Here is an 11,598-nt window from a genome sequence, read left to right as displayed (position 1 = left end):
TCAAGCAATCCTCCTGCCTCAGCCTCCCAAGTACCTGGGACTACAGACACCATCATACCAGGCTAATTTTTTTTTTTTTTTTTTTTTTTTTTAGAGATGGGGGTCTTGCATTTTTTTCCCAGGCTAGTCTTGAACTCCTAGCTTCTAGTGATCCTCCTACCTCAGCCCCCCAAAGTGCTAGGATTATAGGTGGTAGCCACCATGCCTGGCCAGAGACTTTCTCACCATCCTGGTGAGAACAACACCTAGAGTGAGGAAGGAAGATAGGTTTCATGATTCCACATCCTGCTTAGCCCACAGCATGTTTTCCCTCCTGCAAGAAAGAAAAACCCATTTGAGAGCATGTAAGATCTAGGCAGCAGCTATCCTTCCATTGGGAGGGTGCACTTACTCCCAGGCCTGCCTCACCTCCCTCCACTGCCTGGCATGTACTCATGGGAGTCCCTTCTGCCTTGGTTTGTGTTTAAGCCATGAGAATTGGAAGAATAAAGCATTTCCAGCAAGAAGCACAGCTTGCCACTCAAAGTCAATGAGGGACAGGCAACATTGTCATGATGATGCCTCATACCTGCCTTTCTGTTTTCTCTTACATAGCAGAGGGTTGTAAATGAAGATGAAGGACCTCCTGTGAAGTCTGGTCTAGTAGAATTCACACTCAGACCTTCTGATGCCTGGCAAATACTCTCACCTCTAGATCAAGTGACCTAACTCTCCTCCCACCTCTGCTTCCCTCCACCCTTGCTGGCAACTGGAGAAAAGTGATGAGAGTCCTTCACCCTTCTCAGTTCTGTGTTCTCCAGGACACCCCCCAGCACCTCAGTGTTGTTCTCTCTAATGAAGAGAGTTATTAGTTACCCCCATACATATTTGACTGTGACTTGAGATATGACCAGGTTCCTAGCTACAAATCAGCCCTGCAGATAGGAACAAAATACAGGGAGAAAATGTCACTTTTATAGAGGTCAGACCAACCAACAAACAAACACACCCTGGTAGAGTCTGGGTGTGATGGCTCACACTTGTAATCCCTGCACTTTGCGGGGCTGAGTCAGGACAACTGCTTGAGCCCAGGAGTTTGAGACCAGCCTGGGCAACATAGGGAGATCTATTTAAAAAAAAAAAAAAAAAAACCCTGGGAGAGTGAATAGAGACTTGAAAAACTCACTGATTAAACAGGGAGTCAAAGAGATTAGAGGAAGTTCTTTATTAGCCTAGGATCATTTATAATTGATCTGGGGTTTATTGACACAAAGGACAAAGTCTCTGTGAATCTCAGCCTGTCTCCCATTATGCTCTTTCACAGTGAATGATCAAAAAAACCTTTTTGCCTATTTGTTTTGAGACAGGGTCTTGCTCTGTTGCTCCGGCTGGAGTGCAGTGGCACAAATGGGGCTCACTGCTGCCTCAACCTCCCAGGCTCAAGCAGTCCTCTTAGGTCAGCCTCCTGAGTATCTGGGACTACAGGCGTGCATCACCACACCCGGGATGGTCTCGAACTCCTGGGCTCAAGTGATCCTCCCACCACAGAGATAATCCTAAACTATCTCTGTCCTCTCCAATCATACTTTTCATTCTTTCACTGATAGGTGCCAGCTGCAAGGTGGAGTAGTATCAGGTACAGTATTTCAGAAAAGAAACAAGGTAACATGGAGAACCTTCCCTCATCCCACTTAAATGCAGGTAGGCTTCCTGGAGGAGGAGGACTTTGAGAGAACACCAGAAGTGTTTTCTGATGCCCTAAGCATTTTGCAATCCAAGGACAAGATCTCACCCATAATCACCCTATGATCCATGTGGACTGTGTTGGTATATGTCAGATGCTGAAGGATAAAAGCCAAAAGTTTTTGGTCGCTGGTCAAAATGATCAGTGGCTTCTGGCTTCTGCCCTGTATCATATGTTCTAGAATGTCAGCAAAGATTTTCAGTGACCCTAGAGAAGCTATCAGGATGACATGGAAATACGTTAAAATGGGTTTTTTAAAATCCTCACCCTTTGTGAAATGCATATACCCAGGATGACCCAGCAGAGAATATAAGGGTGAGAGAAGAAGGCATTGTATTAGTCCGTTCTCACACTGCTATGAAGAAATACCTGAGACTGGATAATTTATAAAGAAAAGAGGTTTAATTGACTCACAGTTCCACATGGCTGGGGAGTCCTCAAAAAACTTACAAGGAGCAAGAAATAGAATGAGTGCCAGCAGGGGAAATGCCAGGCACTTATAAAAACATCAGATCCCCTGAGACTTACTCACTATCACGAAAACAGCATGGGGAAACCATCCCCATGATTCAATTATCTCCCACCAGGTCCCTCCCACAACATGGGGGGATTATGGATTACAATTCAAGATGAGATTTGGGTGGGGACACAGCCAAACCATATCAGGCATTGAGGATGTTGCTGGAAGGGCAGAGTCTACACGAACTCAAGCTGAAGTTACACTAGACCCCAGGCACATGCCAAATCTGGGCTTGTTGAAAGGCCCTTCTGGCCGGGCGCAGTGGCTCACGCCTGTAATCCCAGCACTTTGGGAGGCCGAGGTGGGTGGATCCTGAGGTCAGGAGATCGAGACCATCCTGGCTAACATGATGAAACCCCGTCTCTACTAAAAATACAAAAAATTAGCCGGGCGTGGTGGCGGGCACCTGTAGTCCCAGCTACTCTGGAGGCTGAGGCAGGAGAATGGCGTGAACCCGGGAGGCGGAGCTTGCAATGAGCTGAGATCACGCCACTGCACTCCAGCCGGGGCCACAGAGCGAGACTCCGTCTCAAAAAAAAAAAAAAAAGAAAGAAAGGCCTTTCTAAACCATGGGCTGTAGCTGTGCTATGTATAAGGATACAGCACACTCAATCATTGCAAGTGAATGTCTGACTTTATTCATAGAAGTACAAATTGTATAAAATAACAATAAATATGTGCATATATCTTCAGCTTCATTTTAGGCAAAAACATATTTTACCTGCAGAAAATTGTCAGATATTTTTTCTTTTTTCTTTTTTTTTTAGACAGTGTCTCGCTTTGTCACCCAGGCTGGAGTGCAGTGGTGCTATCATGGCTCATTGCAGCCTGGAACTCCTGGGCTCAAGCGATCCTCCCACCTCAGCCTCCCAAGTAGCTGGGACCACAGGTGCATGTCTGGCTAATTTTTTTTTTTTTTTTTTTTTTGGTCTCCCTATGTTGCCCAGGCTGGTCTCAAATTCCTGGCCTCAAGAGATCCTCCCACCTCCAAGAGGCCCTGCAACCTCAGCCTCCTGAGTAGCTGGGACTACAAGCATGCACCACCACACTAGGCTAATTTTTAAATTTTTTATAGAGGTGGAGTCTCCCGATGTTGCCTATAATCCCAAAGTGCTGAGATTACAAGTCTGAGCCACCACACCCAGCCAACAGCTCATGTTATTTTAATGTAAATTTTTGGTAAATAATATAGGAACTGACTTTTTTTGTTTTTTGTTTTTTTTTCCTTTAAAAACCTACTTGTGGCCAGGCTCAGTGGCTCACACCTGTAATCCCAGGATTTTGGGAGGCCAAGGCAAGTGGATCACCTGAGGTCAGGAGTTCAAGACCAGCCTGACCAATATGGTGAAACCCCATTTCTACTAAAAATACAAAAATCCAGATGTGGTGGTGGGTGCCTGTAATCCCAACTACTCGGAAGGCTGAGGCAGGAGAATCGCTTGAACCCGGGAGGCAGAGGCTGCAGTGAGCCAAGATCATGATGCCATTGCACTCCAGCCTGGGTGACAGAGCAAGACCCCCTCTCAAAAAAAAAACAAACAAACAAACAAACAAACAAACAAACCAAAAAACGCTACTTGTAACTGTTGCTAGATGGAGCATATATATTCAGGACAACTTGAATTTATGCTCCCAGGTTGCAATCCTCAGTCTTGGCCCAAATACACTCTCTACTTATATTAATTTTACCTGAGCTTCTTCCTTTTAGGTCAACAAATGAAAACCTAAAATACACAATAATGCCCTTGAGAACAAGCAGGCAATAAGTAGCAAAGATATAGAGAGTGGTGGGAAAATGGTGAACTACTATATAGCAAGACACTTGGTCTAACTGCTGCCTGGCAAAACCTTTGGTAAAATTGCAGACTCACATCTCAAGAAAGAGATGAGCTTATAAAATAACTGGCCAGTTTGCAAACAATCAAGAGGAAATATGGACAGTGCAGAAATTAAAATTGTTTAATTTGAAATTAAAATTGAAATTAAATTAAAAGTACAACTGTTTCCTAGCATATGAAAGGCATGGCCATCAAACTATAGCCTCAAAAAACACCCAGATGCAGCTGGGTTCGGTGGCTCAAGCCTGTAATCCCAGCATTTTGGGAGGCCGAGGTGGGTGGATCACGAGGTAAAGAGATCGAGATCATCCTGGCCAACATGATGAAACCCCATCTCTACTAAAAATACAAAAATTAGTTGGGGGTGGTGGTGCATGCCTGTAGTCCCAGCTACTCAGGAGGCTGAGGCAGGAGAATCCCTTGAACCCGGGAAGTGGAGGTTGCAGTGAGCTGAGACGGCGCCACTAGACTCCAGCCTGGCAACAGAGCAAGACTCTGTCTCAAAAAAAAAGAAAAGAAAAGAAAAGAAAAACACCCAGATGCTGCCATTAAGACACAGCCTGTATTCGTTAGATTTTGCTACATGACAAACTACCCCAAATCCTAATGGCATAAAATATGCATTTTTCTCACAATTCTATACAGGTTGACTGGGCAACTCTTCACATCTAGACCAGCTTGGCTTGGGCTGAGGCTGGATGATCAAACAGTCTCACCCATGTGTCTGATTGTTGGCAGACTGAGTAGTCTAAAGAAGCCTCAGCTGGAACTGCTGATCTCTGCTTCATCTGGTCTGTCATCTTCCAGAAGCCTCCTTCACAAGTGGCAGAAGGGTTCTAAAATGAGCAAGCGAGGGCAAAGCTTTTTCAAGTCTCTCCTTTCATTGTTTTGCTCATGTAGAGCAAGCCACCTGGCTAAACCCAGATTAAAAGCGTGAGAAATCGAATCCACCCGTTATTGTGAGGATTGGCAGAATCACAATGCAAAGGGGTGTGCATACAGCAACTGGAGGAATTTGTGGCCATTTTTGCAATCTACCACATGGCTTTAGGCAAAGACTAAATCAGGGTGTGATTATTGCATCCCATTTTGAAGATCTATGTAAGGATTAAGGTGGTGCCATTCAGCTAGACAAAAGCGTTCCTAGAATGAACTGTGTGGTCCCACAGAAGCCTGATATGCCTATTATTTAGTATCTGATATTAAGTCTAGAGAGGAAACCATGAGAGAATTGTGGACATGGCTTTTGGCCCATGAAGTTGTCTGAAATCAAATACACAGAAAATATTCAGTTCAGCCAGGCGCGGTGGCTCACGCCTGTAATTCCAGCACTTTGGGAGGCCGAAGTGGGTGGATCATCTGAGATTGGGAGTTTGAGATCAGCCTGACCAACATGGAGAAACCCCATCTCTACTAAAAATACAAAAATTAGCCGGTCATAGTGGCGCATGCCTGTAATCCCAGCCACTTGGGAGGCTGAGGCAGAAGAATCGCTTGAACCCGGGAGGCGGAGGTTGTGTCAAGCCAAGATCGTGCCATTGCACTCCAGCCTGGGCAACAAGAGCAAAACTCCGTCTCAAAAAAAAAAAAAAAGAAAAGAAAGAAAGAAAGAAAGAAAGAAAAGAAAATACTCAGTTCAAGAAAGCTATTTTGGCAAAGTGCCCCCAACTTAGACTGAAGGAGACAAGATGTAAAATAATTTCTATGTCCCCAACTTTCTATGGACAGAAAGAGGCTAAAAATGCTTCTCAGCCAACACAGAGGGCACATGTTCCAGTGTCCTCTTCCACAGTGCCCAAGGAGGAGGATGAAAAAGGAAGGACTTTGTGAATATCGAGGAAGGTGACAAGAAGAACACTCAGGGATAAATACTCCACTGAGAACTTCGTGTTGCTAAATGCAATGTTCATGTAACTGTAATAGGTTTGTTTCCCGATGCACACAGCAAATCAATAGACTAAGATACTGGGCTACAGCAGAGAAAGAGGTTTAATCGTAGGGCTGCTGAATGAGGAGAGAGGGGGAAACCTCAAATCTGTCTCCCCAAGGAATTTTGGACTAGGGTTTTAAGGGTTTTGGAGCAGGCTGAAGTATGATCATTGGTTGGTCAAAGAGTGAAGGATGAAGTTATGGGACAGGGAGATAAAGAAACTGTATTCTCATGCTGATTCTATTCCACTGGGGAGGGCTTCAAACTGATTGGCATCAGCTGTTTCACTGGAATTCAGGATCTGCTTAAGCAATCTTTAAACAAAAGCCTTATGATTCCAAACCAGAGACTCTATCTATCTTAAAAGCCTTATGCATTTTTTTTTTTTGAGACAGTTTCACTCTTGTCATCCAGGCTGGAGTGCAATGGCGCGATCTCGGCTCACTGCAACCTCCGCCTCCTGGGTTCAAGTGATTCTCCTGCCTCAGCCTCCCGGGTAGCTGGGATTATAGGCGCCTGCCACCAAGCCTGGCTAATTTTTGTATTTTTAGTAGAGACAGGGTTTCACCATGTTGGCCAAGCTGGTTTAGAACTCCCAACCTCAGGTGATCCACCCGCCTCAGCCTCCCAAAGTGCTGGGATTACAGGTGTGAGCCACCTCGCCCGGCCTCTGATTTTTTTTTTTTTTTTTTTTTTTTTGAGACATGGTTTCATTCTGTTGCCACACCAGGGGAGTGCAGTGGCACAATGGGGCTCACTGCAGCCTCAGCCTCCCAGGCTCAAGCCTCCCGAGTAACTGGGACTACTCTTACCTCAGCCTCTCGAGTAACTGGGACTACAGGCATGCACAACCATGCCCAGCTAAGTTTTGTATTATTTGTAGAGATTGGGTTTCACCATGTATCCCAGGCTGGTCTTGAACTCCTGGGCTCAAGTGATCTGCCCACCTCGGCTTCCCAAAGTGCTGGGATTACAGGTGTGAGCCATCATGCCTGGCCCAAACTCTTATGATTCCAACATCAGAAATCCTATCTATAGGAACCATGAGGATACAAACAGCCAGTATCAAGTGCTGCTACATGACTTTCAGTTACAAGGAAGGGGACCAAAGTGCAGCCTGTTTAATGATTAATGATAATTATATTTCTGTCCAGAATTCTTGTTACCCCTATGAGGCTGGCTTCAGTCACCTCTCTGTGTTCATACTATTTGCTTTCTTGGAAGATTTTAGCACAGTTGACTTCTCTCTCTGATTTGGTTTGAATGTTTTGTTCCCTCCAAATCTCATGTTGAAATGTAATCCTCAGTGGTGGAGGTGGGGCCTTGTGGGAGGTGTTTGGGTCATTGGGCGGATCCCTCATGAATGGCTTGGCACCCTCCTCTCGGTAATGAATGGGTTCTCTGAGTCCACGTGACATCTGGTTGTTTGAAAGGATAGACCACCCTGCCCTTGCTTTCTGTCTCGCCGTGTGACAGGCTTGCTCCTGCTTTGCCTTTCGCCATGAGTAAAAGCTCCCTGAGACCTCACCAGAGACTGAGCAGATGCCAGCATCATGCTTCCTCTATGGCCTGCAGAACCGTGAGCCAATTAAACCTCTTTTCTTTATAAATTACCCAGCCTCAGGTATTCCTCTATAGTGACACAAAACAGACTAACGCATCCTCCTTCTAGGAACCAGTTCTTCTTTTGGCTTCCACTCCACCACATCCTTCTGTAACCACCTGACAGATTCCTCCTGCCCACTGTACAAACAAAATCAATTCATGGGGACCATGGCATTGCAGTAAAGAAAGAGTTTAATTGACCCAAGGCCAGCCATGCCACACTGGAGATAGTTATTACTCAAATCAATCTCCCTGAAGGCTTAGAGCTTAGGAGTTTTACAAAGATAGTTTAATGGGCAGGGGGCTACAGTAGGGGAAATGCTGATTGATTGGGTCAGAGATGAAATCATAAGGAATTGAAGCTGTCTTCTCGTGCTGAGTCAGTTCCTGGGTGGGGTCCACAGGATTGGTTGGCAGGTCCAAATGGGGCCATCCAGTTGTCAGAAATGCAAAAACCTGAAAAGACATCTCAAAAGAGGCCAATCTTAGGTTCTACGATAGCAAGGTTATCTGCAAGAGTAATTGGGAAAGTTGCAAATCTTATGACCTCCGGAATCATGGCTGGTAATTATTTTGAATTCAAGCCCCTCTTACACTCCTAACTTGATGGCCTTTCATTAGTTTTTTTTTTTTTTTTGAGACGGAGTCTTGCTCTGTCGCACAGGCTGGAGTGCAGTGGTGGGATCTCCGCTCACTGCAAGCTCTGCCTCCTGGGTTCATGCCATTCTCCTGCCTCAGCCTCCTGAGTAGCTGGGACTACAGACGCCCGCCAACAGGCCCGGCTAATTTTTTTTTCTGTATTTTTAGTAGAGACGGGGTTTCACCGTGTTAGCCAGTATGGTCTCGATCTCCTGACCTCATGATCCGCCTGTCTCGGCCTCCCAAAGTGCTGGGATTAAAGGCGTGAGCCACCGCGCCCAGCCTGTCTTTCATTAGTTTTACAAGAAGAGTTTAGTTTTGGGGGAGGGTTATTATCATTTAGACTATAAACTAAATTTCTCCCAAAGTTAGCATGGCCCGCGCCCAGGAATGAGCAGACAGCCAACCTGGGAGGCTAGAGGTAAGATGGAGTCAGCCACGTCAGATTTCTCACACTGTCATAATTTTGCAAAGGTGGTTTGACTTCAGGTTGTTGAGGCTCAGAAGCTGATACCCCAAAATATGGTACTTTGACATACTGAACTGAAGAAGCCTCATTGTCTGACAATCTCTCCCCACCGACACTATCTCGTTTATCTGCCTAAGATCCAGACCCACCGAAAAGAACAATTGTTTTTATTTCCCCTCCCTGTAAGACCAAGAATGTAACCATACCTGAACAGATCCTTTCGCTGACAAAGAGAACTGTTTACAAGTGAATCTCTGTTCCCGAACCCATTCATTCTCCCTATCCTTTACTGTCCCTCAACAGAATTCCTCTCCCCTGACCCCCTAACCTGTTTTGCCAGCATGGTGTATAAGCTTCTGAATCCCGTTGCAGGGTAGATAATCACTCTGTGGTTCTCCCCATGTACGTGTTAATAAAATTTGTATGCCTTTGTCTCCCATTAATCTGCCTTTTGTGAGTTTCTTTTTCAGCAAACCTTCAGAAGGCAATGGGAAGTTTCTCTTGACCCCTACAGTTGCCTCACTGATGCAGGATTTTTCTCAGCCACTTTGCCAACAGGGGTCCTCCGTGGCTGGGGACACCCACATGCCCAGGCCTCGCTCAGTCCCAGGACTGCCGCTGGAGGTGCCTCACCAACTCAGCCCACCTGTGCTATAGTTTGTACCCGCATTCGGTGGTTCTTGAGCTCTTGTCCTGCATCCAGGAAGAATGAGGATATGCTGACAATTGAAGGATGAGGATGGGCAGAGAACAATTTTATTGAGCAATGGAACAGCTCTCAGGGAAGAGGGGATGTGGAGAGTGGTCTTCCACTCTCGCAGTGCGGTAGTTTCTTTCTGTCAGTGTGGCTGAGTTTGGGGCTTTTATGGCTCAGAATAGGGGAGTGTGTGCTGATTGGTTTCTGAGTATGTAAAGAAAAGCTAAAGCAAAGGCATCACTCAGAGGTGGGCACGGCAGTGTAGAAAACCAATTAGGAAAGGGTTGGCATATGTAAAACTGGTGAAGTGTGGGGATCAATCAGAGGAAAGTGCACCAAATGGGAAGACAGGTTCTCAATTTAGTCCGTGGATTTACCTGAGACTTATAGCTAGATTTTAAACTGTCTTCAGCTTGAAGGTGGGGTTTCACTGGGGACCCTCCTCTATCTGCTTGGTATTTGCCTGCCTCCTGCCACTATCATCACCACCTCCTACTCCCTGAAGAATGTAAGCATCATGAGAGTAGAGATCTCACTTATTTTGTTCATTCTATTTCCCCCATACCAACACCAGGCCTGGAACATAGTAGGCATTCAGTGAATGAAGAAATTAAATGAACTATTCTTGCCCAGCCAAAGGCTGAGGTCTCAGTTTGTCTTCATTGCCCTGCATCCCCTGGCCTTTTTGTCTTGGAACAGCACAGTCGGAGTTTACTGTCATCATGTTTGTCTGCAAAACCAAGATATCTTGCACATATCTTAGTGGTTTCTGATCCCAAAAGAAAACACATCTGGTGACTCAGAAAGGATGCGGAAGCCGTGCCTGGATGTCATGGACTCCCTTGATGTTTGCCTTGGCTCTTTCTGCTGCTATATTGCATCCTTTGGCATTATTACTGCTAACATAAGTGTACTGCATGGAGTCTCATGAATCCTTTCCTCCATCTAACTGTCAGAGTTGTTTGAACCAGAGCGACTCCATCTTGAATAAGTGCTGGGTAAAATAAGGCTGAGACCGACTGGGTTGCATTCCCAGGAGGTTAGGGCATTCTTAGTCACAGGATGAGGTAGGAGGTCAGCACAAGGAACAGGTCACGAAGACATTGCTGATAAAACAGGATGCAGTAAAAAAGCCAGCCGAAACCAAGATGGCAACAAAAGTGACTTTTGGTTGTCTTCATTGCTCATTATACACTAATTATAATGTATTAGCATGCTAAAAGACACTCCCACCAGTGCCATGACAGTTTACAGATGCCATGGCAACATCAGGAAGTTACCCTATATGGTCTAAAAGAGGGAGGAACCCTCAGTTCCAGGAACTGTCCACCTCTCTCCTGGAAAACTCATGAATAATCTGCCCCTTGTTTAGCATATAATCAAAAAGTAACTATAAGTATTATCAGTCAAGCAGCCCAAGCTGCTGCTCTGCCTATGGAGTGGCTATTCTTTATTCCTTTACTTGCTTTTTTTTTTTTTAAGTGAAAGCAAGTTTATTAAGAAAGTAAAGGAATAAAGACTGGCTACTCCATAGGCAGACCAGCCTATTCCTTTACTTTCTTAATAAACTTTCTTTCATTTTACTCTATGGACTTGCCCCAAATTCTTTCTTGCACAAGATCCAAGAACTCTCTCTTGGGGTCTGGATCAGGATCCCTTTCCGATAACATCTTCCTGTGGAATCACAAAGGCACTATAATGAGGAGACCCCCGACCCAAAGGGAATAGACTGCAGCACCAATTGGCCGACCTTGGGTGAGTGGTGGGATACATTTTACCCAGGTAAAGAATGGTATTGGGTTAGAGTCCTTCCTAAAACAGAGAGGGTGAAGGTCCCTCTTAATAATAAGGCAAGGATGCTTGACCAAACTTGGGTTTGAAGCCCAACTTAGGAAGGTTAGAGTCCTTCCTAAGATTTAGGGGGTTAGAGGCCCCTTTCAGCAAAGTCCCTCTTGGTTAAAAATGGATTTGGCAGCCAGGCACGGTGGCTCACACCTGTAATCCCAGCAGTTTGGGAGGCTGAGGCAGGTGGATCACCAGGTCAAGAGATCGAGATCATCCTGGCCAACATGGTGAAACCCTGTCTCTACTAAAAATACAAAAAATTAGCTGGATGTGGTGGCTCACGCCTGTAGTCCCAGCTACTCGGGAGGCTGAGGCAGGAGAATTGCTTGAAC

At 45.5% G+C, this 11,598-nt stretch overlaps 1 pseudogene, besides 1 other annotated feature; it reads right to left on the bottom strand.

The window, feature by feature from the left end:
- Positions 300-825: an enhancer, noted in NCBI's record as "NANOG hESC enhancer chr17:47163998-47164523 (GRCh37/hg19 assembly coordinates)". NCBI's record gives its function as "activates a minimal SCP1, AML or CMV promoter by ChIP-STARR-seq in naive H9 embryonic stem cells {active_cell/tissue: H9 hESC(naive)}" and the evidence as "EXISTENCE:reporter gene assay evidence [ECO:0000049][PMID:30033119]".
- Positions 759-1,950, bottom strand: B4GALNT2P1 (B4GALNT2 pseudogene 1; annotated as a pseudogene).

Source organism: Homo sapiens, chromosome 17 (genome assembly GCF_000001405.40).
Source record: "Homo sapiens chromosome 17, GRCh38.p14 Primary Assembly".
Taxonomy (NCBI): domain Eukaryota; kingdom Metazoa; phylum Chordata; class Mammalia; order Primates; family Hominidae; genus Homo; species Homo sapiens.
The sequence above is the reverse complement of the archived record's forward strand: the minus strand, read 5'-3'. Positions and strand labels throughout refer to the sequence as shown.